This window comes from Homo sapiens, chromosome 2, assembly GCF_000001405.40.
Source record: "Homo sapiens chromosome 2, GRCh38.p14 Primary Assembly".
NCBI classification, from domain to species: domain Eukaryota; kingdom Metazoa; phylum Chordata; class Mammalia; order Primates; family Hominidae; genus Homo; species Homo sapiens.
The window spans coordinates 61165115-61193000 of NC_000002.12; the positions used below are offsets into that span (position 1 = coordinate 61165115).

General features: G+C 45.3%; 1 protein-coding gene, 1 long non-coding RNA gene and 1 pseudogene across 8 annotated transcripts in view, besides 3 other annotated features; 1 reads left to right on the plus strand and 2 right to left on the minus strand.

The window, feature by feature from the left end:
- The window catches only part of C2orf74-AS1 (C2orf74 antisense RNA 1), a 26853-nt gene extending 13682 nt beyond the window's left edge, over positions 1-13171 (minus strand). Inside the window, exon 1 of the long non-coding RNA NR_183879.1 lies at positions 12992-13171. This is a non-coding gene — a long non-coding RNA (C2orf74 antisense RNA 1). The remainder of the gene's footprint in view (positions 1-12991) is intronic.
- Positions 3192-3693: an enhancer, noted in NCBI's record as "H3K4me1 hESC enhancer chr2:61395441-61395942 (GRCh37/hg19 assembly coordinates)". NCBI's record gives its function as "activates a minimal SCP1, AML or CMV promoter by ChIP-STARR-seq in primed H9 embryonic stem cells {active_cell/tissue: H9 hESC(primed)}" and the evidence as "EXISTENCE:reporter gene assay evidence [ECO:0000049][PMID:30033119]".
- Positions 12077-12626: a silencer, noted in NCBI's record as "silent region_11525". NCBI's record gives its function as "represses an Ori minimal core promoter by ATAC-STARR-seq in GM12878 lymphoblastoid cells {active_cell/tissue: GM12878}" and the evidence as "EXISTENCE:reporter gene assay evidence [ECO:0000049][PMID:35858748]".
- Positions 12304-23811, plus strand: AHSA2P (activator of HSP90 ATPase homolog 2, pseudogene; annotated as a pseudogene). 6 transcript variants are annotated; one of them, NR_152213.1, is made up of 7 exons: positions 12304-14057; positions 16206-16291; positions 18433-18548; positions 19598-19686; positions 20388-20504; positions 21332-21383; positions 21503-22437. The product of NR_152213.1 is annotated as an activator of HSP90 ATPase homolog 2, pseudogene, transcript variant 3 (transcript). The 6 variants fall into 6 exon arrangements; NR_152212.1 differs by lacking the exon at positions 18433-18548 and adding an exon at positions 20866-20967; NR_152211.1 differs by lacking the exon at positions 18433-18548 and having other exon boundaries at positions 12304-13270; positions 13867-14057.
- Positions 15378-15956: an enhancer, noted in NCBI's record as "H3K27ac-H3K4me1 hESC enhancer chr2:61407627-61408205 (GRCh37/hg19 assembly coordinates)". NCBI's record gives its function as "activates a minimal SCP1, AML or CMV promoter by ChIP-STARR-seq in primed H9 embryonic stem cells {active_cell/tissue: H9 hESC(primed)}" and the evidence as "EXISTENCE:reporter gene assay evidence [ECO:0000049][PMID:30033119]".
- The window catches only part of USP34 (ubiquitin specific peptidase 34), a 283625-nt gene continuing 278087 nt past the window's right edge, over positions 22349-27886 (minus strand). Inside the window, exons 76-80 of the mRNA NM_014709.4 lie at positions 27787-27866; positions 25404-25544; positions 25157-25300; positions 23796-23955; positions 22349-23595 (exon numbers count right to left, since the gene is read on the minus strand). Coding sequence (NP_055524.3) covers positions 22988-23595; positions 23796-23955; positions 25157-25300; positions 25404-25544; positions 27787-27866 — 1133 coding nt within the window. The 3' untranslated portion in view covers positions 22349-22987. The remainder of the gene's footprint in view (positions 23596-23795; positions 23956-25156; positions 25301-25403; positions 25545-27786; positions 27867-27886) is intronic.

Sequence of the window (27886 nt, forward strand, 5' to 3'; positions counted from 1 at the left end):
GAGACCAGCCTGGTCAACGTGGTGAAACCCTGTCTCTACTGAAAATACAAAAATTAGTCCGGCGTGGTGGCGTGCCTCTGTAATCCCAGCTACTCGGGAGGCTGAGGTGGGAGAATTGCTTGAACCAGGGAGGCAGAGGCTGCAGTAAGCTGAGATTGTGCCACTGCACCCCAGCCTGGGCAACAGAGCAAGACCCCATCTCAAAAAAAAAATTGGTACAAAAAACAAACTACAACAGCCTGGGCAATATAGGGAACTCTGTCTCCACAAAAAATAAAAATAAAATAAGCCTGACATGGTGGTGCATGCCTTTAGTCCCAGCTACTAGGGAAAAACAGGCCCAACGTGGTGGCTCACACCTGTAATCCCAGCACTTTGGGTGGCTGAGGCGGGCAGATCACCTGAGGCCAGGAGTTCGAGACCCAGCCTGGCCAAAATGGTGAAACCCCATCTCTACTAAAAATACAAAAAAATTAGTGGGGTGTGGTGTCGCACTCCTGTAATCCTAGCTACTCAGGAGGCTGAGGCAGGGGAATTGCTTGAACCTGGGAGGCAGAGGTTGCAATGAGCTGAGATTGCACTACTGCACTCCAGCCTGGGTGACAGAGGGAGACTCCATCTCAAAAAAAACAAAAACACAAACTACTACCAACAACAAAACATCCTATTACTTTATGCAAGTTCTGAGATTATACTATTCTTGATTTCAGTGGTTTAAAACTTGCTGTCCATGTGTGGAATATGACAGTACAGACTGCTACGACATCATCCACACAGCTGCAGTATACATTTGTGACATGTCTAAGGGGCTCTGAGAGAAAAAGCAGATTCATTTGATTCAGAGGCCTCGCCCATTGTCATGTGGATGTTCCATAAATGTCTGTGGAATGATTGGGAGTATAAGTGATAAAATATTTTAGAATGTAGAACTATTGCCAAATGGGGTGTACTGACACCCTCTGCTGGGAGGCATGTCGCTGTGGGCTGGGACCATCCCACTGAGAGGAGGAAAAGGAACTTAGACAAATGGAAGGATTAGATAGATAAGACAAGCAGCTGGGGAAGAACATGAGTCAAGGCAAAGAGGTGAGGATGTGTATTGGGTTTGGTTCACACCAGTTGGCTGTCGCTGAATGTGGGTGTAGAGGAGAGTTGAGAGGCAACAGTGAAGTGTGGTGAGAAGTCAAAGTGAGGTTCACTTAGGATCCCAGGCTAAGGGTATAAAGTGGGAAATGGATCCAAGCTATGTGGACTGTTGGGGGAAGGTGCCTGCGGATATATTCAGAGTCTCTTTAAATTTTTTATCGTTCACCTGATGATAATACTAAATTTTAAAAAATTTTCATTTTGGTAAAAGATATATGACATAAAACTTGCCACCTTAACCATTTATTTTATTTTATTTTTTGAGACAGGGTCTCACTCTGTTGCCTAGGCTGGAGTGCAGTGGTGCGATCAGGGCTCATTGCAGCCTTGACCTCCGGGGCTTAAGCAATCCTCCCACCTCAGTCACCAGAGGAACTAGGACTACAGGCACATGCCACCATGCCCAGCTAACTTTCGTATTTTTTGTTGAGACGGGATTTCACCATGTTGCCCAGGCTGGTCTCGAACTCCTGAGCTCAAGAAATCCACCCACCGTGGCCTCCCAAAGTGCTGGGATTACAGGTGTGAGCCACCATGCCAGGCTTCATCTTAGCCATTTTTAAGTGTACAGTTCAATAGTGTTTTAAGTACATTCACATTGCAGTACAATTGTCACCACAGTTTTGTAGAAGTTCCAATACAGGAAAATGATGGGAAAATTGGCCATCAATACCTATAACCATATAGGCACATGGAATTCCAGAAAGCCATCCGGATCACGACTGTAACGTGAACAGCAGCACAGTCAACAAAGAGCTTCTGGCACTAAACGTCCATTTGACTTTTATTGGTTCTGTGCTTTTTTGTATTTGATTTGTAAATTTCTTTTCTTTCTTTTTTTTTTTTTATTTTGAGACGGAGTCTCGCTGTCACCCAGGCTGGAGTGCAGTGGCGCGATCTCAGCACACTGCAAGCTCCGCCTGCCGGGTTCACACCATTCTCCTGCCTAAGCCTCCCGAGTAGCTGGGACTACAGGCGCCCGCCACCATGACCAGCTAATTTTTTGTATTTTTAGTAGCGATGGGGTTTCACTGTGTTAGCCAGGATGGTCTCGATCTCCTGACCTCGTGATCTGCCAGCCTTGGCCTCCCAAAGTGCTGGGATTACAGGCGTGAGCCACCGCACCTGGCCTGTAAATTTCTTTTAGTTTTAAAGTTAGATGAAAGCTTTTAGGTTAGGGAGTTGATATCCGTCTTTGCGTTTCTACATGTTTTTAAGTGACACTATAATATACATAATCTTAGGCAATAATGGAAGAAGTCCATGAGAGCTTTCCTCCAGGAGTAAGTTATTGAGGATTAGCAACTAGGAGGTGGTAAATGGAGATGGCTCCAGTGATGATTCAGATTTGAAGGATGTGGACCTGGAATAGAAGGTGGCAGAATGTAATGAGAAGATGAAGAAAGATTAAGGCACATCACTTCCTGGTTAGATGTGGGAGGAGCGAGAGGAGGGTGCAAAGATGGCTCCTGAGTTTGGATACCTGCCAGACAGTCAGGAATAGGAGAGTCCAGGGAAGTAACTAGTTAGGGCAAAAAGATTAGGCAGGTTGGCCGGGCGCGGTGACTCACGCCTGTAATCCTAACACTTTGGGAGGCCGAGGTGGGCGGATCACGAGGTCAGGAGTTTGAGACCAGCCTGGCCAACATGTTGAAACCCCGTCTCAACTAAAGATACAAAAAAATTTAGCCAGGCGTGGTGGCATGTGCCTGTAATCCCAGCTACTCGGGAGGCTGAGGCAGGAGAATCACTTGAACCTGGGAGGTGGAGGTTGCAGTGAGCTGAGATCGTGCCATTGCACTCCAGCCTGGGTGACAGGGCGAGACTCTGTCTCCAAAAAAAAAAAAAAAAAAAAGATTAGGCAACTTTTAGCTCTGTTAAATTTGAAGTACTGACTACAGATTCAACTGAAGATGCTCCACGGACAGTGAAGCTGTAGGGCTCCATGTGTCTATCTCCTAAGCTATGGCTCCAGAGAAAAAGTTGAGCAGTTTTTTCTCAATGCCTGTTGGTGTTTCACTTGCAAAGGTGGGATCAAACTTGCCACTTTACCTCTTTAATTAGCTGTTGGTCCAGGGACTTTCTTCAAATGACTACCTCAAACAGGACACATCACCCAAAAGCCAAAAGGGAAAAGCTTGATAAAGCTTGGACTACTTAAAAATTCTTTTTTGTTGTTAAGAAAAAAAAAAAAAAACACACACACACACACACACACACACACACACACACACACAGTCCAAACCCCAACAGTAAACTAGGAAGGCCTATTTATTTATTTATTTATTTATTTATTTTTTTTTTTGAGACGGAGTGTCGCTCTTTCGCCCAGGCTGGACTGCAGTGGCGCTATCTTGGCTCACTGCAAGCTCCGCCTCCCGGGTTCATGCCATTGTCCTGCCTCAGCCTCCCGAGTAGCTGGGACTACAGGCACCCGCTACCACGCCCGGCTAATTTTTTTTGTATTTTTAGTAGAGACGGGGTTTCACCGTGTTAGCCAGGATGGTCTCGATCTCCTGACCTCGTGATCCGCCCGCCTCGACCTCCCAAAGTGCTGGGATTACAGGCGTGAGCCACCGCGCCCAGCCGGAAGGCCTATTTTTAAAACAACTTTTTTTTGAGGAGTCTCACTCTGTCACCCAGGCTGGAGTGCAGTGGCACGATCTCAGCTCACTGCAAGCTTCACCTCCCAGGTTCACGCCATTCTCCTGCCTCAGCCTCCTGAGTAGCTGGGACTACAGGCGCCTGCCACCAAGCCCGGCTAATTTTTGCATTTTTAGTAGAGATGGGGTTTCACCCTGTTAGCCAGGATGGTCTTGATCTCCTGACCTCATGATCTGCCCGCCTCAGCCTCCCAAAGTGCTGGGATTACAGGCGTGAGCCACCGTGCCCGGCCTAAAACAACTTTTACATTGAAATAATTTCAGATTTATAGAAGGGCTGCAAGAGTAGTACAAAGAACTTCACTCAGATTCCTCAGTTAACAGTTTACCACAATGGTCTTACCATTTTCTCTCTCGATATATACATATTCACATTTTAAAGCATTTAAGAGTGAGATGCAAACATTATGTATCATTTGCCTCAACACATATTTCTGAAATTCTGCAACATTCTCCCAGATAACTGCAGGTCAACCATCATTTAAGATCGATTCACTATTACCACTATCTAATCTACAGTCCCCATTCAAAATTTACCAGTGTCCCAATTTAATATATATATTAAATATGTATGTATAGAAGAACATGTATATAGATGCATCCCTTCCATCGTGTTCTGGTTGGTGAGAAGCAAGTCACTAAGTCCAGCCTATGTTCAAGGGCAAAGAGATTATACCTTTTGAAGGGGAAAGTTTCAAAAAAGTTGTAGACCACAGTATCCATTTCTGTAGCTATCTATCCTTATACATGACAATGAGCTCATACCAGCACCTCCAATTCCAATCCAGTAGGTCCTATTCTAGCTTTACTCACTCCATATTTGTAACCCCCTTGTCTAATAATGAGAAATCTGGCTTCCATTATGCTCAACTTACTTACTGCTCAATCCCCTATTTATCATGATTCCACCAAACACAGGCTCCAGCATTATTGACTTTGGTGATTGTTATGCTGGGAAACGTTTTTTTTTTTTTAATTTATGACCAAAGGTTGATTTCGTTATAAAGAAATGATTAAGAACATTCAGATACATAAGAAATTATTTCATCCATAGGAATAAGAAAATATGAATCACCTAGTTTTAAATTGGCAGAGATAATATGTATAGGCAGAAAAATAAATGGCCAAAAAAATTTTAGATGCTCACCTGACTTCATAAAAATAATCTAAAGTAAAACAATAAGTATCTTATTTATAAAAAAATTATATTGATTTTTTTAATCTATCAGACTGTCAAATGTTAGAAAGGTGGCTGATACTGGTGAAGGGTTAAAGAGGAGGAGGAAAAGAATTCTCATTAGACAAAAGTAACTGACCCTTGAACAACATGGGCCCACTTATATGCAGATTTTTTTCAGTAAAAGTTACTGAGTGTGCGCCTGCCTCTCCTGCCTCCCCTTCTACCTCCTCCACCTCTTCCGCCTCTGCCACCCCTGAGACAGTAAGACCAAGCCCTCCTCTTCCTCCTCCTTAGCCTACTCAGCATGATGACTATCAGAATGAAGAACTTTATGGTGATCCACTTCCCCTTAATGAACAGTAAATATATTATCTCTTCCTTATAATATTTTTTTCTTTTTTTTGAGACAGAGTCTCACTCTGTCGCCCAGGCTGGAGTGCAGTGGCATGATCTCAACTCACTGCAACCTCTGCCTCCCGGGTTAAAGCGATTGTCTTGCTTCAGCCTCCCAAGTAGCTGGGATTACAGGTACCTGCTATAATGCCCGGCTAATTTTTGTATTTTTGTAGAAGTGGGGTTTCATCATGTTGGCCAGGGTGGTCTTGAACTCCTGACCTCAGGTGATCCGCCTGCCTTGGTCTCCCAACGTGCTGGGATTACAGATGTGAGCCACCATGCCCAGCCTTCGTTATGATTTTCTTAATAATACTTTCTTTTCTCTAGCTTACTTTATTGCAAGAATATGGTAAATTTAAGGCCGGGCACGGTGGCTCACATCTGTAATCCCAGCACTTTGGGAGGCCGAGGCGGGCGGATCACGAGGTCAGGAGATCGAGACCATCCTGGCTAACATAGTGAAACCCCGTCTCTACTAAAAAATACAAAAAATTAGCCGGGCATGGTGGCAGGCGCCTGTAGTCCCAGCTACTCGGGAGGCTGAGGCAGGAGAATGGCGTGAACCCAGGTGGCGGAGCTTGCAATGAGCCGAGATTGTGCCACTGCACTCCAGCCTGGGCGACAGAGTGAGATCTGTCTCAAAAAAAAAAAAAGAATATGGTAAATTTAATATACATAATATACAAAATATATGTTAATCAACTCTTCTAGATAAGGCTTCCAGCCAACAGTAGGCTAGTAATAGTTAAGTTTTGGGGAAGCCAAAAGTTATACACAAATTTCTGACCATGTAGGGGAGTCAGTGCCCCTAAACCTCCCATGTTGTATAGGGGTCAACTGTGTCAATTGGTAAATCTTTCTGGAGGATAACTGGGCAGTTTCTGTCAAAATTGAAAGTATATGCACCTTTCCATTCTGCATGCCACTGGCTAGAATGTACCCTGTGATAAACTTGCAAAACTTAACTCATGCGTAAACTTGCTTGTTTCCTCCAAGTGAGGCTCAGGAAAAGAGAAAGAGGAAGAGGGAAAGAGGGAGAGAGAGAGGTAGGCAACCCACCAGCAAGAAGATGGGGAGTTTTGGCCGGGCGCGGTTGCTCACGACTGTAATCCCAGCACTTTGTGATGCTGAGGTGGGCGGATCACCTGAGGTCAGGAATTTGAGACCAGCCTGGCCAACACGGTGAAACCCCATCTCTACTAAAAATATAAAAATCAGCTTGGCGTGGTGGCAGGCACCTGTAATCCCAGCTACTCGGGAGGCTGAGGCAGGAGAATCACTTGAACCCAGGAGGCGGAGGTTGCAGTGAGCCGAGATCGTGCCACTGCACCCCAGCCTGGTTGACAGAGCAAGACTCCGTCTCAATTAAAAAAAAAAAAAAAAAGGCCGGGCACGATGGCTCATGCTTGTAATTCCAGCACTTTGGGAGGCTGAGGTGGGCAGATCACAAGGTCAGGAGATCGAGACCGTCCTGGCCAACATGGTGAAACCTCATCTCTACTAAAAATACAAAAATTAGCCGGGCATAGTGGCGTGTGCCTGTAATCCCAGCTACTCGGGAGGCTGAGGCAGGAGAATCGCTTGAACCTGGGAGGTGGAGGTTGCAGTGAGCTGAAATCGTGCCACTGCACTCCAGCCTGGTGACAGAGCGGGACTCCGTCTCAAAAAAAAACAAAAAAAAAACACAACACAGTCTTTTGGTAACCTAATCCTGTAAGGAACATCTCATCACTTTTGCTGTATTCTGTGCATCGGAAACAAGTCACCAGGTCCAGCCTACACTCAAGGGGAGGGGATTACAGAAGGGCACAAATACCAAGAGGGAGGGATAGGTGAGGGTCATCTTAGAGGCTGCCTGCCACAGAGACTCAGTTTGGTACTGCCCCAGGTGATGGGGAAAGCAAACATCAGTCCTCTTGCGCAGTACTTGACTTCAGCAGAGGTGAAGAGCAGTTTTAAGAAACTGCCAAGTGAAGGTGCCCCCTGGTTTCAGAGCTATTAAAATGTCTGTGCCTTGTGCAGTGGCTCACACCTAAAATCCCAGTGACTCAGGAGGCTGGGGCAGGAGGATCACTTGAGCCCAGGAGTAAGAGGCTGAAGTGAGCTGTGATCACACCACTGCACTCCAACCTGGGTGACAGAGTGAGATCCTGACTCTTTAAAAAGTCTATGATATAATTTACTGACAGAGGGGACTCTCTGAGTGGTGAAGGAGACAACAAGGAAGTTTTGCAGAGGAAGAAACTAAAAGACTTGGTACTGGAGGCTTGGGTGGAAAGGGCCCACCAGGCAAAGCATCCTGAAAGTGTAAATGCACGGGTGTACTGGAGAGCCCAGGTAGACTGCTGTGCAGAGTGCAAGCAATGGTGCAATGCAAGATGGGCTGGAAAGGCAGGCTGGACCAGACCTTCAGTGTGCAGCCTTGCTAAGGGGGTGGGTGTGGGGAGCCACTGATGAATGTTAAGCAGAGCAAGCAGTTATATCAGAGTGCTTGCATGGAGGTAATGGAGGCTGGACTAGAGGAGAAAGAGACTAGCAGGGACAGAGAGGCCATTAGGAAGACCTTGCAAAGATCCATGCAAAGATCCATCCGTGCCCGGCTGGCTTCTTAACTGTCTTCAGCTCAACAATCCTTCAAATTTTGGTCTCCCACAGTTACTAGCAGTGGAATCTAATCCTAATGCAGATAGATGGTAACACTATTTCAGTTTTAGAAACAATGAAGTACACAGAGATTAAGGAACTTGCCTAAGGTCACTCATCTGGTAAGTAGCAGAGCCAAGACTTGGATCGAAGCACAGGGCTTCAGAGCCTGCCAGTGTGGGCGGCCGGTGTGGGCCACTGCTGCTAGAGGACACACAACTCAGCACACATTTCTTCACTGATGGTATAAAAAGACTTCATGGTGGCTTTCACTCGCCCCTCAAAATGTCCTCACTTTTGTCTTCTCACCCATTCTGCTTTGTGCCCATCCTACTTTCCACTCATTCCTAACTTGCACATCTTTGCTGATGTGATTCTTCTTTGGTCTGGAAGGAACTCTCCCATCTCTCTACCTGTTGAAATTCCATTCATCCATCAAGGCCCAGTTCTTCTTTCATATTCCACCAACAAATGACTTCATCCAGTCTTATGAACTAACGTATTTCACAAATATTTATTGAGATCTGCTATGTGCTGGGCACGAGAGATTCTACAACGTGCAAAACAGAAGAACTGTTAGTTGTAAGCTATTGTACTTATCTTTGGATCTGCTACAGCAGTGGCTTTCAAACTTAAAAAACAAACAAACATAGTCTAAGCATAATACATCACCACACACACACACAGCCCCCAATGATTTAAGAAACAATATTTACCTTTACTATATGTAACCACTCTGATCATTTAAACTCAATTCTATTCTATTTCATTCAGATAAAAATGATGGTTGGTACCTCCTGTAAAATTTTACCTCTGCTAAAATTAATTTTATAGCCCATTAAGAGCCTATTAATAAGCTGGAACACACAAGTTTGAGAAATATTCATTCCATCATTCACCCAGTCATCTAAACAAATATTTCCTTGGTGCCCACTATGTGCTGGGCACAGCTCTGGCATCGGGATAAAGAGGAGGAAGCGTGTTTGCCCTCAAGTTGAGCAGGCCAGTGAAGATAACAAAGCTTGAGAGCAAAGGCTACACACAGTGCTATGTGCTATGGTGGCAGTGTGCTTGGGACATTTGCATGCTGGTAGCTCAACAAATATTAAAGGAATTAAATCAAACTAAGGGATAGGCACCAAAATTATAAAAAGAAAATGGAATAGTGACTTCCTCAAAAGCAGACCCTTAGCAGCTCATGGGTCTACTGTGATGTGAAACTGGCATCCAACTCCTGATTCTCTAGTGCATTGCTAATAAGAGTCAATCCTGGGCTGGGTGCGGTGGCTCACGCCTATAATCCCAGCACTTTGGGAGGCCAAGGCGGGTGGATCATCTGAGTTCAGGAATTCAAGACCAGCCTGGCCGATATGGTGAAACCCTGTCTCTACTAAAAATACAAAAATTAGGTGTGGTGGCACACGCCTGTAATTCCAGCTACTTGGGAAGCTGAGGAAGGGGAATTGCTTGAACCTGGGAGGCGGAGGTTGCAGTGAGCTGAGATCATGCCACTGCACTCCAGCCTGGGCAACAGAGTGAGACTCTGTCACAAAAAAAACAAAAAAATGGCAATCCTGGATATGTACATTTTTCAACCCCTTTCTCTCGAGACAGAGAAAGTGTGGTGGAGTTGTTTAGAAAAGGTGAAAATAATCTGGATCTACCCCAGCACAGGTTGGTTATGGGAGAAAGGACATACTTGAGAGGATTTTGCATTTCTTCCCCCAAAGCCTGTCAGTGTTGTCACCCTCACTTTGCTGCAGGTAAGCTGCCACCTGAAGTTGTCCAACTTGCCACCTCCCTTGCATCCTCTCCCACATCAAACCAGTCAAAACCAAGACAGGTAGAGAAACATCCATTCTGATCTTTCTCATCTTAGTAGAGAAATGGGTAGGACAGTGAAAGGGTGGAAGCAGCTGGCTGTTCTCTTCCCCTGTGCCAACCTGTCCTTTGCCTGCAGTCATCCACAAAATACGCTCACGAGTGGAGGTATTTTCTCCATTTGCCTACCGGAGCTACCACGTTCCAACATTATTTTGCGTCTTCCTATTGCAGGCTGACCCTTTGGACTCATCTCCTCCCATGGCTTCTGGGACTTGGCTGAACCACTTGTCCCTCTTGTCGCCAGCTGATCCCCACCAGCAGACATAAGCATTTAAAGGGAAAAGGCAAAAACTCCCTTCATCCATGTACCTATCTCATTACTGTCCAATTGTCTTACCTGTCCTTGCCCAACATTCTGAAAGCACAGTCTCCACCCTCTCACCTCCCATTCACCCGTTACCCGTGACCCAGCTTCTGCCCCATCGTTCACTGAAACTGCTCTCTGCAAAAGGCTCAAGTACCTTCTGTGTTGTTACACCCAATACATATCTTTATATACCTTTATCATCCGACTCATACTTTTCCACACTTGATGACGGCCACTGCTTCTACCGTGCACCCTGGCTCCCTGATTAAATGCCTTTGTGGTTGCCTTCCTCCTCCTTAGTCGCTCTTTGCAGGCCCCCTCTTCCCTGCCTACCTCTTACCTGCTGATTTTTCCCAGAGTTATAGCCCAAGCCTCATTCCAGCCTCTTTCCATTCTAGCCTCTGAGGGTGCGGCTACTAACCAACCTGCAAGTCCCAGTTGCTGAACAAAACGTATTTCTCTGCTGCACCCCAGTGTCTGACGCATTTACATTCCACTTCTGAACACCTCTCATCCCTGAATATTTGTCACCCCTTCTCCACCCTGAGAAGTCCCCCTCCTTCCAGTTTCCATCTTACCCTGGTCCATTGTCCAAAAGTCCGTAAGAATGATTTTTTTTTTTTTTTTTTGAGACGGAGTCTCCCTCTGTGGCCCAGGCTGGAGCGCAGTGGCGTGATCTCGGCTCAATGGAAGCTCCGCCTCCCGGGTTCACGCCATTCTCCTGCCTCAGCCTCCCGAGTAGCTGGGACTACAAGCGCCCGCCACCACGCCCAGCTAGTTTTTTTTTTTGTATTTTTAGTAGAGACGGGGTTTCACCGTGTTAGCCATGATAGTCTCGATCTCCTGACCTCGTGATGCGCCCGCCTCGGCCTCCCAAAGTGTTGGGATTACAGGCGTGAGCCACCGCGCCCGGCCAAGACTGATTGTTCTAGAACACATCTGATCGTGTCATTTCTCCATTTAGGTTGCCTCAGTGGTTGCCCATTGCCTGTATGGCCAAGTGCAAGCTCCTTAGCAGCGGAAATGAGGCTTCTTAAGATCAGGCAACCCCACCACGCTGCTCCTTCATGTGACTCTGTTATAGCTGCTTTAGTGAAGTGTGAAAGGTGAAATCAAAACGTCTTTTTGTTTTGAGGTCAAAACGCCTTTAAGCAGTGTGTTTACATGACTGTTGTAGCTTTCTGGAAGATAATGTTGGAAGGTGGTAGCTCCGGTAGGCAAATGGAGAAAATGTCTCCACTCGTGAGTGTATTTCGTGGATGACCGCAGGCAAAGGACAGGTCGGCACAGGGGAAGAGAACAGTCAGATGCTTCCACCTTTTCACTGTTCTACCCATTTCTGTGCTAACTACCCATGTAGTTAGCAGAGAACACCCCAGTAACATTGTCCAAATAGTTCGTGCAAAGTTTTAGCTAGAAGCCGAAAATTCGTGAAAGGAATCATTAATACTCCATGATAAAGTGCATCAGTTTGCAGTAACATGCGTTTGCAATCACATTCTTTCGTTCTCTCTAAAGGATTATTACGTGAATAAAATGGAAATACTCCCGCAGTAACATGGGACTAGTTGGAAAGGTGCCGGGAAGGGGGGAGGGCGAGAGACTGCGTCGCGGAAAAAACCGCAGCGCGGCAACTGGGCGCGGACTCGCTCTTAGGCGAAATCCGCAAACGGTGTGACGTGTGCGCGCTGTGGCCCCAAAGGCCGGTCTTACAGCGACCTGGGCGTTCGAGGTCGTGTCCTCGAGAGCTATAGGGAGCCTGCCGAGGCCACCTGACGGCGGTGTCGCGTCTACACTGCCGGTTGGACTCTCAGGCACCCGCTACTCAGCGCCCTGCTTCCCGGCGCCGGGAATCACGAGCCCGCCAGCACCGCGGGACTTGCAGCGCCCTCCGCCCTTCGCAGGCGGCCCAGACAGCCCCGTCCCGCCCTAGCGTTAGGAGACGCGCAGCGGAACCCCGGCGGCCCCAGCCCCTCCCCGCCCGCGCGTCCCCGCGTCCCCGCGTCCCCGCGCGACCCGCCTCCCAGATCCCGGCTGGGGCTCCCGGGCGCGCCGCGGCAGGGCGGGGCGGGGCCGGGGGCGGGGCCTTCTGGCAGTTTCTGGGAGCTGCGAACGCGCCGCCCCGGGGCTCGGCGGCCGGAAACGCTGGCTTCGGAGCCTTAGGCGCCGCGGCCTTTCCTTGTTTTCCGCCCAGTCCACGCCGCCATGGCCAAGTGGGGCCAGGGGAACCCCCACTGGATCGTGGAGGAGCGGGAGGACGGGACCAACGTGAACAACTGGCGCTGGCGCGGCTGGCGGCGGCCTCCTTCCGGGATCTGGGGAGGGCCGGGCCGCGGGAGCCGGGGCTGCCCTGGGGTCTGTGCGGGGCCGCGGGGCCAGGGGGTCAGGGGGCCGCCCCCCCTCAGCTGCTGGACGCAGGGCTCGGCCTTCGCCTCTCGGCTCGGGAGAGTCCTTGAGTACGGAGACCGGCTAGGAGGGTTGCAGCTGCCTCTTTTTGAAAGTTGGGTTGGGCCCCAAGAGTGACTTCCGACAGACCTTTCCACTCCCACCGTCTGTGGCCTGAGGGCCTTCCCTTCTCCTCCCGCCCACCCCTCTGGATGTTTCGGGGAGTTAGAAGGGAGCTGGATTGAGAGACTGTGTTAGGGGCGGGGGTATGGAACGTAGTGGAAAGGGCAGAAATTTGGATCTCAGTTCGCGCCCACCCCGCAGGCGCCTCCCGCGAGCCGGGCCCTCTGTGAGTGAGACAAGCTCCCCTTCCTTTACGCGCCTCACCTGGCGCGTGGGGAGAGGTCGGCAGCCCTCCGCCGCAGAACCTCCGGAAGGGATGTCCTCTGCCCTGCGCCTCTGGCCGGGGCTGTGGTCCCTCCAGGCCGTCGAGGGGATGCTGAGGCCGGTCCCCAGAGGAGCATGACTTGGCTGGTCCGGAGGAGCTCTGAGGGCATGGGCAATCTTGGCTCGCTGCAACCTCAGCTTCCAGAGTTCAAGCGAGTCTCCTGCTTCAGCCTCATGAGTAGCTGGGACTACAGATGCGTGCCACTACGTCCGTCTGATGTTTGTATTTTTAGTAGAGACAGGGTTTCACCATGTTGGTCAGGCTGCTCTCGAACTCCAGATCTCGTGATCCGCCCGCCTGGGCCTACTAAAGTGCTGGGATTACAGGCGTGAGCTAGATCTGACTTTCTAGTGTCCTAGCCTTGGCCCGATGGACATGTCATTTCTCTCAGCTCGTTTCTGTCCCCTAAAGTGAGAATATTGCCTGGGAAGATTACATTAGACGATGTATATGCGAAGACACTTGATAGCTGGTATTGTCATGATTCTGATTAGTTCACTACTGCTACTTTCCCTGTGGCCTAGGCTTTGCCTATTTCCAGTGGGCGAGCTAGCTAGATCCTCCTCCCTTAAATAAGCCAGTGTTTTTAAGACAGAATACTACTTGCATAGTGGACAATAATATCTTAAAGAACTGAGCAGGATGAAAAGAATTTGATAGAAAGCAGGTTTGAGGAGCACATTGGAGGTTGGCAGGTTTCGAGGCTGCTTGAGAGGACTTGGGCCGATCTGGGCTGGGCTTGGACGTGACCCTGGCACCCAGGCAGGTGGATCCCAGCTGGGGCTTCCATTCACGACTTTCTGGTCCCTGGCAGGACAGAGCGGGATGCCACCAGCTTGTCCAAAGGGAAGTTCCAGGAGCTCCTGGTGGGCATCGTTGTGGAGAATGACGCTGGCCGCGGCGAGATCAACGAGTTGAAGCAGGTGGAAGGGGAGGCTTCGTGCAGCAGCCGCAAAGGAAAGCTGATTTTCTTCTATGAGTGGAACATCAAACTGGGCTGGAAAGGTAACAGGGGCCTCAGGGTACTAGTGGGGCTGGGGACAAAGTGCGTTCATCATTCAGCGAATGTTTTTACAGCCCCTGCTATGGGCCTGGCACACTGACTGGCTCCTGAATCAGCGTTGGTAGATCCTGACACTCTGGCCACACTTGAGTTCCATGGGCCAAGAAGGATGGGGATTTCCCTTCTCGCAGCACTCGCAGCTGCTTAGAGCTCATTGCTGTCAGCTGGGCCCTCTTCTACCAGGCCCTTGTGAACAGGAGTCTCCCGGCATTGCTGCCTGGAGCACTCTTCCCCCAGGTAGCTGCCTGCCTCCTTCAGGTCTTTGTCCTGAGTAAAGCCATCTCTGTGCATCCTTGGAGACTCCTGCCTTGTGCCATCTTTCTTCCCTACTTTATTTTTCCCCAAGGCACTGAAACTTGCTTTACAAAACTATTTTGCTTACTGTCCTGCTCCCTCTTTCTGTCATTCAGTAGGGTAGGGATTTCTTTTAAAAACGGCTTTTTTGAGACATAATTCACTCATTTAGTGTGTATAATTTATTGGTTTTCGGTATAGTCACAGAGTTGTGCAGCCATCACTACAATCAATTTAGGAACATTTCACCACCCCAAAACAAAACCCTGGACCCATGAGCAGTCACTCTTGTTGCCCTCCTCTTCCCCAGTCCCTGGTGTCTGCTCACCCGTTTTCTCTGGATTGGCCTCTGAACATTTCACATAGATGAATCATGTAGGATGTGTTTTTTGGTGTCTGCCTTCTTTTACTTCATAATGTGTTCAACGGTCATCTGTGTTGTGTCAGGTAGCAGCACTTTATTCTTTTTTATAGCTGATGAATATTCCACGGGTGCATATACTGCATTCTGTTTCTCCATTTATCAGTTGCCGGGCATTTTGGGTGTGTCCACTTTTGGGGTCTGTGGGTTCAGTTCTCCAATGGTGCCTCGATCCTGGCTGAGCAGACAGCGTGTGCGCACTCAGTCCTTGTTGAGGGAGCCAAGTCTGTGGAGATGCAGGGAAGGGAAGAGGAGGAGCTAGGGTTTGAGCCTCAGCCCAGGAGTCAGCTCCTATCTGGAGTGTGTGCCCCAGAGCAGTCCAGTGAGTTGGCCTCGAGCCTCTGCCCTGCTGGCTGCCTTTCTCACAGACGAGGGTGTTCAGCCCTTCCCCCTTCGCCTCAGAACAGGCTCAGAACTCCTCTGGCTGGGAGTTTGCCTCTCTTGCAGCCCCCTGTGTCTGCTGCTGTCTGGATCATAGCAGTCTGGCTCCCTGCCCACTACCCCAGCACCGAGCCCTAAGGCCTGAGGAACCTTGTGGGCCTTGTGTCTTTTCCATCTCTCTTGGCTCCTTTGCAAGGATAAGACCCAGCCACTGCCAGGCAGCAGCCAGAGGACGGGTTGTTAGGGCTTGTCCTAACACCTCCCAGCTGCTCTCCTCCAGCAGCGAGTCTCTAGGGTGGCAACTGGGACCCACTGGGGAGGAGGCAACACTCTAGTCCTGAGAGAAGTCTACCTGCCTGGTATCCCCCACACAATGCCCTCAAGCCAGAGCCTCCCTCCCCTCCGTGGTCAGAACGTACTGTCCCTTTCTGTCCTTCCATCGCTTTTGTGACTGCTTCTCCCCTTCAGGGTACTCCTTTGTCCTGCTTTGCCCAGGCAAAGAGTACCCTGGGACAAGAAGAGGAATATGGGTGCACTTGCCCCACACTCCTCTCAGGACGGCGGACTGCTGACTCCTCATGCCCTCTCCTTGGCCATGGCCTGCCTGACCTTTCTTCCGTGGCTGCTCAGGGGGCCCTGGAGTGGTGGAACCCTGTGAGGGCAGCTGAGCTATTCAGTGAGGTAGGGCAGTTTTTCATAAAATCAATTTTTTTTTCTTTTTTGAGACAAGGCTCACTGCAGCCTTGACCTCCCAGCAATCCTCCCACCTCAGCCTTCCAAGTAACTGGGACCACAGGTGTGCGCCACCATGCCCAGATAATTTTATTTTGTAGAGACAGTGTCTCCCTGTTGCCCAGGATGGTCTTTAAACTCCTGGGCTCAATCCATCCTCACCACAGCCTTTCAAAGTGCTGAGATTATAGGCATGTGCCACAGTGCCTGGCCCAGTTGTTACTTTGTATTATAATTGAAGAACCCATTTTGCTCATTTTAGGCATCGTTAAAGAATCTGGAGTGAAGCACAAGGGATTGATTGAAATACCCAATCTTTCTGAGGAAAATGAAGTAGATGACACTGAGGTATGTGATCAAGTTTCTATTTCTTTTGTTCTTTTTTCAGTCAAGCTTCTGCTACAGACATTGGGCATTTCAAATAGTGTTGATCAGACTGTGTGGTTCCTGTGTGGTAGTTCGGGTGCCTTGTGGAGGGCCTGTTTGCCGAGAAGGATTGCCGTACTGTGGGGGCAGCGTGTTGTGTGGAGCTGGAGTGGTACAGGAAAGAGAGTAAGCCCCAGGAAGCCCTGAGCTCCCCCGAGGACCAGGCAAGGGGCCTGGGCAGCTGGCTGCACCCTCCTTAGCCTCCTCATCTGTGAAAAGGGGTTAATTTCTCTTCCAGGGGTGTTGTCACGTTAGATGTGACAGTGTGTGCACTGTAAACTGCTCAGGCAGCTTGCATGGCTTGATGAATGTGACTCTCCCTCTTCTCCTGCACCTTTGCCGTTTCCCTTTAATGGTGAAAAGTCTCAGCCTTTAGCTGCTATCTCTCCCTTGGTTATGCCTCACGGTTTTTTGTAAACTACCCAGTTAGTACGTGTTGCTTTTGTGGCTCTCTTGGTTCTCTTGGGAGACAGAGCCTTGTGTAACTCCCATGCTTGGCTTCAAGTTAGTGCCCTCTTTTGGCTGAAAGCTGGGTTTTGGGGGTGAGACCATTTGTACAGCCGCTATATTTTTCAAACGAGGATAGTCTGACAAAGGATTTTTTTTGATTTGTGAACGTATTTAACATGAAGGCTTTTCAAGATAGGCTGACTCCTGCCCAGCAGTATGTCTTATGGCACGAAGGTTATGCAGTGCCACAGGCCGGGGGCTGTCCCAGACCTCTGTCTTCAGTTATGTGGTTCCTCTGCTCAGGGCCTGAGATTCCACTTTGTTATATTCAGATCCATCAGCTGAGAAATTTTTCAACAGAATGTTTAACTGGTTTTTAAGATTTAATCTCTCAGTAGCATTACGGAACAAACTCTTTAGATTCAAACTGGGGCCCGAGATCAGGCCCCCCTCAACTGAAGCATCGGGACACTAAATTTTTTCAAATCGACCCCTTTTTCTTCTGGGAATACTAGAGACATCCCCACAGCCCTCTGTTGCTTCCTTCTCCCTTGGCCTCCCCCTTCTTCCCTCTCTTCTTCCTTCCCTCTGCCTGTCTTCTACTCTTCTCCCTTTCCCAATTTTCCTCTCTGCCAAAAAAGTATATAATCCAAGGCTGGGTTGTATGGGAACTTGATTTCCCTAATTACGGTGGCTTTTGGGTTCTATACCAGCACTGTTCCATGTAAATATAATGCAAGCCACATGTGCAGTGTAAGTTTTACTAGTAGCCGTACTTAAAAAGTTAAAGCTGTGGCTGGGCATGGTGGCTCACACTTGTGATTCCAGCACTTTGGGAGGCCAAGGTACGAGGCTCACTTGAGCCCAGGAGTTCGAGGCTGCAGTGAGCCATGGTCATGCTACTGAACTCCAGTCTAGGCAACAGGGAGACCCTTAAAAAAAAATTAAAGCCAGGTGTAGTGGCATATGCCTATAATCCCAGCTGCTTGGGAGGTTGAGGGGAAGGATTGTTTGAGCCCAGGAGTTTGGGTCTAGCCTCCGCAACATAACGAGATGCAAGCTCTTAAAAAAAAAAAAAAAAAAAGATAAACAGGTGAAATTAATTTTAATAATATATTTTATTTAACCCAGTATATATAAAAAAGATTTTAGCATGTAATTAATATAAAAATTATGAGGTATTTTACATTCATTTTTGGTAGTAAGTCTTTGGAGTCTGGCACGTATTATTTCACACAGCACATCTTGATTCAGGCCAGCCATATTTCAGGTTCTCAGTAGCCACATGTGACTAGTGGCTACCATACTGGACAGTGCATTTCTAGACCCCATGAAAGCCATGGACCACATCAGCAATAGGATTTATATACATACACATGCACAACTTTGTATGCAAATTAAAGGGTTTACATTCTATGAAGTCCATGCAAGATTTGGCCCCCAACCCTGTCATGGACCCTGGATTAAAAACCCTTAAAATCCTGCCCTATCACATCTCTTACATCTACTTCTTTCCTTCCTCCACTGCCATAGTTCTCTCATCCATACAGCCCAATGTTGTAAGAATACATCAAACCAGATCTTTCTTTGGTTTCTATTTTTCTGATTTGTAGGTCAACGTTGAGTAAAAAGAAAGGAGATGGGGTTATACTGAAGGATCTTATGAAAACTGCAGGCACTGCCAAGGTCAGGGAGGCCCTTGGAGATTACCTGAAGGCACTTAAGACGGGTAAAGAAGGCATCCCTTGTGAATCAGAGGGGTCCCTTTTCTATTTACCCAAGTTATACTCTACACTGTGGTCAGAGGCTCCAGAAGCAAGTTTATACTTCAGAATAAATTGTAGTCTGGAAGTTGAGAGCTAGTCATCGTTAAGACCATAATTAGTGATAATTAGTATTGTACACAGCATGAACCATTTTGCCTACAGAACTGTTAATTGTAGTTTTCTGGAATGAAAATCAGTTGTTCGTGTAATTACTTGTTTAATGTCTGACTTCCTTGCTAGACTATAAGCTCCATGAGGGCATGGAAGGTGTCTGTCTTGTTCACTGCTGTATCTCCAGCATCTAGCACAATGCCTGGCACATAGTAGGTGCTTAATAAATCTTTGTTGGATGAATGAATGAATGGATGAAAGTGACTGCAGGTATTACAGGTGTAATTGAGAAATACCTAGATAATATCCGCATTGCATGGAAGTGAGGTTATTGTTGTCTTCCCTAAATTAGAGAAGTGAGGCAGGCAAGATGGCCAGCAGTGCCTTATCTCTGTACCTCGTTCTTGGACCCTACCACCTGAGTATCTAGGTGTTGGCATAGATGGGTTTGGGGTTGTCACTTTTCCCGTGAGAGCGCACATATAGCTGGCTCACAGGCTTTTGAATACTGTGAAGACAAGCTTTGTGAGGCAGTGGTCACCCTCACGTGAGAAATTGTCTGTTTTGACAGTAGGTTAGAGCCACAAAGCTATTAGTAGTTAATCATATAAAACTTAGCTGTTTGGAAAAGAACTTTGGAAAATTTTGCTGCTTTAGCAAAAACTTGATAAAAGTGAGGCATTTGAAAAAAAGGCATTTGTTGCTGTGGAACTCACATTGTTAATCATCAGTAGTTTTATATGTAAAAACTTGGAATGGTCTTGAAATTCTCAAAATGTTATAGGAATTATTTTTATAAATGTTTTATTTTCTTACATGCTGTTTTGGGTTTTCTACCTTACTCTTTGTGCTTAAAAGGAGAAAGGTCCTTACTAAAACCACTTCCCTTGTTTCTTTATAGAATTTACAACGGGAATGATTTTACCAACGAAAGCTATGGCAACCCAGGAATTGACTGTCAAAAGAAAACTGAGTGGGAATACCCTGCAGGTATGAGCTCTGTTGGCCAAAATGTAGGGAAGGGGTAAAGGAAGTGTTTGAGTCAGGGCTCCGAATGGCCGTGTTGATGGAGAACTGAGGACAGCGAGGGCCTTCTTCCGCCTTTGAGTCTCCCGTGAGTCCTCTAAGATCTCCCATTTTGTTGTGCAAATGATAAAATGAGACTTTGATTCTTGATGGAAGGGATTGTTACAGACACGCCTTTCTTTGGGATAAATACCTGACTCAAGAGTGTCCTAAGGGCAGTGTTCTTTGGTAGGCCACAGAACCAGATGACTTTCAAGATCCACATAGCATAATAAAAGAAACTTCTTTGCTCACTTTTGGACTGGGAGTTTAGATCTGTTCTTGGAATGGGTGTTCTGTGTGTAATGGACACCCTTTAGCTTTAGCTGCAGTTGTCTTTCACCTGCTCACGGCTGTATCTGGAAGTCCAGCTAGGATGAGGGGTATTCAGTCATATATGACCTGGGAACAGAGCTGAAGAGCTGTAGGAACAGTGAGCTCTGGTTCCAAAGTAAAGACCAAGACTGGTGGTGCTAAAAAGGCTTTTCATGCTGTTTGTATGTGTGTCTGGAATAGGCAGTATGGAATTTGGGACATTTGATGTTTTACTGAGAAGACTATTGTAATCCAAGCAGCTTTCTCTCTTGTTATGCTAATCATTCCCTGGAACCTCTTCCCTTCTCCAGGTTCAGGCCTCATCTCCAGTGGCACTGGGTGTAAGGATTCCCACTGTGGCTCTTCACATGATGGAACTGTTTGACACAACTGTAGAGCAGCTGTATAGCATCTTCACTGTAAAGGAGGTAAGTAACTCCCTAAGCTAGCATGTTAAGTGCTGACATTGGGAGAAAATACATTACAAAGAACAGGAGCTGGTTTTTGGTTTTCCTTGTGGCTGTGTTTTTGATTGAAGGGATGTGGGATGGTGGTGACAGAAGTCTGAGCATAGTTTCTGAATAATTGGAGGGGAGATGGGCATTCTTTGGGACTATGTCCGCATTACATTGAGTTTTCTCCCTCTAGGAAGAGAGAGTTTGTGTTTTATTTTCTGTAAGTAAAAGCTACATGTTTAGGATTTTTAAACCATATTAATTGTTATATTTTGTATTTCATAATTATATTATGTGTTAGTGTGTACTGGAATAACATGTTTTATTTGGTTAGTTGGTGCAAAAGTTTTCTAAATCTACTGCTGTATTAGAAACTGAAAAGGGAGGGAAATTCCAGATGTTTGATGGGAACATCACTGGTGAATATCTAGGATTGGTAAGTAGACTCAAGGTTGAAGAAGTAAGGTGGGATTAACTCTTAATATTACTTTTTGTATATGCTGTTTTTAGCACCGAAATCACGAGGGTCTGTGTTGCCTCAACCTTAACAGCAGCCCTCTGTTCTGGTTACTATTACTGTACTTAAAACATTATTATATATTCCTGCTGTCCTTGATGTTACTGCTGTTCTGAGACATTTTGGCAATAAAGACAATTATCAGTGGTGCTGATGTATAAACTGGAAGAAGGACCGTATGTTGTTCATTGATTCTTCTAGGAGTTTCAATGAAAGGATTTTTCTGTGTTGTATTGTGGGAAGTCTTAAAAGATTTTCAGTGGAATTTCCCCTCTCTTTTCAGTTAACAAATAAGAAGATCATCATGAAATGGAGATGTGGGAACTGGCCAGAAGGTATGTTACTAATTACTGCCCTTCATATTAAAGGTCCCAAAACACTAAGGCTAGGTTTTTCGTATGGATAAATTTTCCTTTTCATAATGCAGTAATAAGGTTCCTATTTTTTTTCTTAGAACACTATGCCATGGTTGCACTGAATTTTGTGCCTACTCTAGGGCAAACAGAATTACAATTGAAGGAGTTCCTATCTATCTGTAAAGAAGAGAACATGAAATTCTGTTGGCAGAAGCAGCATTTTGAAGAAATAAAAGGTTCACTGCAGCTGACCCCCCTAAATGGTTGAATTAAAATTTATTATAAGGCATTACTTTTTGTAAGCGGAAAAAGTGTCACATTTACCTCTTCCCTATCTTTTGTTTAAAAGGACTGTCTTTATTTTATATTGGATGAAATCTATGAACATATATACAATGTAAAGCATTGTTTGACTCTTTATTATAACTAGACACTGCATTGATTTAAAAGTAGCAAACAACCTGAAATTAAGTATTAACCTGACCTTCCATCGATATTCCTCTGGAAATAGGTAAGTCCTGAGTGCAGATAGTTGATGTTTCCCAAGCTGAAGCTTGTCCTATAGCAAGCTTGCTTGCAGCTGTACTTTTAGTTCAAGATGACAAAAAATAAATGGCATGTTGACACTATTCCTTTATTTTACTTTAGGGTTTTTAAGGTGTGTAGATCTTAGGTCGTAAAACAGTGGTATATTGCATTCAAAAGCATGTTGAGGTGAGGGCAAATTGGCTGTGTTTTGCTCCACATCTCCCTGCACATCTCCCTGCTGTGGTTTTGCACTTCGGTGTGGAGAGGATTGAGAAGTCTGTGGGGACACATTAGTTCTGTGGACTGCTGGTAACACTTCCAGTGAAACAGCATATAATGGATAAATGTTTCCCCCCTCTTTCACGGTTTTCTCACTACTTTCACCTGAGAAGACTGAAGCAACGTATGTAAACAAATGAAAAGTCATCACAATCAGTTTAATTAAGTGCACAGAATAGCAATCAATCAATCAGTCATGTCAATAAAAATAAAACAATTATTTTTACATCAAGTGTGCTTTATTTCCTCCACAGGTATTCTGTTAAATAAAGCACCATTTATATACTGCCAGGCCACAGCTAAAGAGGATTCTTTACAGAATCAAATTTCTTGTGGTTGTTCCGTATACAAGTAAACTTAATTTTGATAATAAGAACCACAGCGATCGGAGGCAATCTGCCTCTATAAGGTACAAAACTGGCACAGAGGACACCATATCATACACAGTAAAAATGCTGTAAGTTTAAATTACATTGTACAGGGCTAGGCAACCCTGTTCTTCCCAGACAGCCATATTAAATGAAAGCCACTAAAGTGAACTCTTAATTACATAAAACATATCCATTATCTGATTGCCCTTTAGGAAGTATACTGAAGATGCAAGTTTTTTTCATCTGGAGTTCTGCCTGACCAAGAATTAAGCCTATAAATCTATCTTGCCATTCAAGCAGAGAGCACTGGACAAACTGAAGCACAAAAACAAATAAGCAAAACTTATACAAACAGCATGGGGGTTGGGGGTGAGGGACTTAAAAGTAGACATGCTACACCTAATGTCAAGAAGCAGCTTGGTTTCCTTTGCCAGATATCCTTGTGACGACATGGATTGTAGATTCAATGGTCCTACACAGGGTATCTAAAATGTCATGTTGCTGCATATGACTAAAGAGTCCTCTGGAATGGCCACAACTGAGAGATAAAGCAACCTCAGGGTCCTGGGAGGGCAAAGCTTGGCCATCACAGCTTCTCAAGTCAGCTAAGTCAGACAGAACTGCAGAGATAGAAGTAGAAGGGAACTCAGATTCTTCCTCAGCTAGGGTAGAATCCTTGGAACAGTGGAGGTCTTTAAATTCTTTACAATCGTCATATCTACCATTGTTGGACTGTTCTTCTGCATGCTGTGACCTGATATTTGACATGTCTTCTGAAAACGAAGATGGAACTTCCATTCGGTATTCTTTAACAGAACTATTTTCAGGGGAAGGAAGATCTTGCTCAGTTCCTGGATCAATAATTGAGGAGTCTCTGGTCTCATTGTCAGAAGTGCTCGTTGGGGTCAGGACCTCCCTGGTTTCTGTTTTCATGTCACTGATGCAGCTGTCTACAGTGTGCTCCTCATCACTGCTAACACGCCGCCTTTTAATGGGAGTTGCTCCTTCATCATCTGTGAAAACACATGCCAAAAGGGAAACTTCTCTGAAAGTCATTAAGATCACGTTAGGGGGGGATGTGGGAAGTTAATTTTGTTTCTAGCATTTATATTTAGGAGGTTCAGCTGAACACACAACTCTTAAACCAGTTACACCAAGTGTATTACTCCCTCCTCCCACCCTAAAGGTAATGATAGTAGTCCATAAAGCTAACCTTTAGTTTTTCTTTCTTTGGCTTCTTGCTCTTGGAGTGAGTTTCTCTGTTGCAGACAAGTCCTGCATTTGCTTAAAAGCTCTTGCAGAGTTGGAATTAGAGCTGGGTTTAACTGTTTGGGAGTGTGTACTGACAGGAGCAAAGCGAGTGCCCTCAGGTCCTACAAAAACCCAGATAGGAACATTTCAAATTCTAAAGCCAACACTTTGATGCAGTTGTTTACAGTTAATTGCAGATGTTTATTTTCCCAGGAATCCATTCTTTCCTAAGAATACCCTGGTTTCTCTGGGATTCTTAGAATGATAAAACCAGAAAGCCAGTGTTAAGATACTACAGCATTTCATTAGTTGTTTTTTTTTTTTGTTTTGTTTTTGTTTTTTTTGAGATGGAGTCTTGTTCTTTGGCAAGGCTGGAGTGCAGTGGTGTAATCTCGGCTCGCTGCAACCTCCACCACCCGGGTTCAAGCGATTCCCCTCCCTCAGCCTCCCAAGTAGCTGGGACTACAGGCGCCCGCCACCACGCCTGGCTTAATTTTTTCTATTTTAGTAGAGACAGGGTTTCACCATGTTGGCCATTGAGATGGTCTCAATCTCCTGACCTCGTTATCCACCGGCCTCGACCTCCCAAAATGCTTGGATTGCAGGCATGAGCCACCGTGCCCAGCCTCATTAGTTCTTAAAGTCACTAATAGCATTATTTTATGCCCACGAACCAGTAAGTCAGACCAAAGCCTGAAATAGTGTTTTCTGAAAAATGGAAAAGGAAATATAAGAATTTTAAAAACAAACCTTGAAATCAGTTTCTCAAGTTAAAATTCTGATGGATGTCACAAATAGTAAGGTCTTCCTTACTGAGCTCTGTCATCTGTTTTGGCTTTTATGCATACTGTGATTTGGGAGGCTGCTGCTCAACATTCTAGCCCATTTCCAGAGTGTTCCATTATTCTAGGACATGGCTGTCATGGGAGTCTGCACAAGGCAACTAATGCTCTAGATTTAACTGCCTTTTTTAAATCAGTAGATCATTAATTGTTTCAGTTACATAGGAGCCATAGGCAGTAATAGAAACATCACAAGTATTGTTTCCAAAAATATACCCAACTAGAGATAAGACCACTAAGATGTTCCCTTTATTACCTTTCAGCATTTAATGATACCAGCTTGTAGCTTCCAAGGTGATAGAGTGTGCTGTGTACATACAAGGCATAGTAAACGTGTATTTAAAACTTGTTTTTTTGTCGCACATGGCTTAAGAGTTTGAATCAGTAAGTTAAAGTTACGAGAGTAAAATCATATGAAGGCCACACAGTTAACTGAAGGACAGTTTAAAAGTGTGTGCCGCCGCCTCTGCATAGTTCTTACCCCATTTAAAGAAGCACTTGCTTTGGAAATTTCAACTCGGTTGGAGAAATCAGACTGTAGGTTCTGATACTGGCTTATCAAGTTTGTAATAAGAGTGCTGATCAAATTGGCACAGTTTGCTTCAGAAAACACTTGACTTTGAACCTGAAAAAGAAGATTTAAAAAAATCTCCAAAAGACCAGCATAATGAAACCACAAGCATTAACTAATTAGAAATGACACACTGAGTTTCCAAAGTACTACGTACCTTTAGAAGGAAATGTGTCATGAACGTGTAGACAATGTTGTTGTTTAAAAAAGTTCTTTCATCCATTAGGATACATTTAATATATTCTGCGAAAACAGGATCTTCACACAAAAGCTTGATGCAGTTTTTTGACATAGCAGACTAAAGTGGGGAGAAGATGGTTGAGCACTTACGGTTGAGCACGGAAAAAACTTACACGGAAAAAACTTACACAGAAAAAACATACACTTGTGTATGATGGAATCTGAAGCCACTGAAAATCCTACTTGAAAAGCCATGTCTAACTCACCTATTGAATTTTTAGTTAACAGCAACTATTTTTCATACAGTAAAATGTTACTAATTTAGATTAAGGGAGTGCTGGGGGAAGACACTGATGCCGAAACTGAACAAATGTTTTAAAAGAAATGCAGGTTTATTATCCAGCACTGAGAGAGTTAACAAGGACTGGAAAAATAAGGCTAACAAAGAATAGGATGTGAATGTTTTCAAGGGCCAAATTAATGTATTTATAGGTAACCAGAGCATATGTTGCAAAAAGACACATTTTAAGAATCAAAATCAATTCTCCAAAATGTTTTAAACTTTACTGTATATTCTCGCTAGCAACAGTAATTCTGTAAATACCTTTTCCCCCCATAAACACTGCAAGGGTAAACAATAAATCTTCTTTCCTAATTATCTCACACAGAATCAGTGGTCTCAATATATGGAAATTTTACTAAAATTTGGTTTTCCTGTTTTCAAATAGTCATGGCTCTTAAACACAAGTAGTATGTCTTTAAGCAGATACACTCCATAGATTTAAATGTGCATTTTAATAATTTATATGGAAAAAAGCAATATATTTTTTAAATAGGACAAAATTTAGATTATATATATATATATATGCATATGTGTATATCTTATTAAAGTATGCAGCTGTCATAAGTAAATTACTCAAGGTCAGTCAAGAAATTAGGATTCAAGTAGGACCAAGACCCAGGTCTTGAGATCCTTAACACTAGGAAAAACCTGCCTTGGTCTACCAGTCACAGCCTGTGCCTCTGCCTCTGTTTCTTGCTCAGGATGGCTGCTTCTATAGCACTGGAAGCTTTGGAGGCCTTATATGGTTAGGCTTTGTTTTAAGGGAAATTTGGGGGCACAGTGAGTTCTGTCTGTGAAAGAAGTCAAGCGAAGGGAGTCCTGCGATGCAGAAGTAGAGAAAGCAATAGGGAGCAATAGGTAGTGGGAGAGTACAGAAACCAAGAAACTACCCAAATCAGGAAGAATGAAAAAGAACAGCAGTAGCAGTGGAGAGGGAAAACGAGATCTCCAATTGACTGAACAGAACACTCAGCTCAAAAATCAACTGATAAAAGTCATTTTCTGAATGCCTACTGTATGCTAAGTCAAGTGAGCTAAGATCAGTGTATACTAGCCTCTGAAAGATTTCTACTGTAGAGAACAACGTGGCATTTCTTCAGGGGATGGAGATGACTCTGATAAGGTCTCTACACTTGAGTTCTGTTTTGGAAAAGTAGAGAAACCACCAGTAGAGTACAGGATGGCAAACATCTAGGAGAATCCAGAGCACACTACAGCCTGGTAGGAGGCTGAACCAGACTCAAAATACTTCAGGAAAGCATGATGTGGGTCAAGGGTTGCACCTAAGGAAGGTGAATAAATTCATCTCTTCCAATGGGGTAGAGCAGATGCAACCAGGCAGTACAATCAACAGTTTTTTCAGGGACTGAAAGGTAGTGGGGATCCTTTATGCCTGATCCAAGGAATGAGCCAAACATTAGTACCTCCTCCTCTTCCCAATTCTGCCTTTGTAACTTAACAAGCATTATTTATGCAGCCACTTAATTTTAAGGAGTTGGCTCTTAGACACTTAAGGTAGGAACAGTAATCTTTCCTGTTTTCAAGGAGATCGCTGTAAGAAAACAAGTGCATCAGACCCCTGAAAAACTACAGATTATGAAAAGCTAAAGGACAGACTGCTGACAGGGTTTCTGCTAGAGGTTTTGGAATGGTGGAAAAGAGGTAGAGACAGGGAGGTGAAGGAGAGGAAGAAGTGGCAAGTGCCTTTTCCCCCACTATCTCCCTGTTTTGGATTTTCCCCACAACTGTTGATATACATCTATAAATGAGAAATTCAATTATAACCAGCTTATTTAAAATATCCTCTATGATAGAAATCTACTTAAGTTAAAAAAATCAAAGGGAAACTAGATGCCTAATATGTAATAGCTAGTATTTTCATTCATTCATATGTTACCTATCAAGATTCTAAAATGTCCCCACTTTTCAGCAAGTCTTCAACCCACTGTTCCTAAAATTATTGACCACTTGGTCAGATAAGATTAAAGACCAATCATCTAAAACTCATTTTCTTTACCTGAGTCTGGCATAGCTCAGTCCAAAGTTTGGGGAACAGTGCAAGATGAAGTGGCAAACCTTCATAGGCAACTAGGACACCTAATATTTGAAAAGAAATC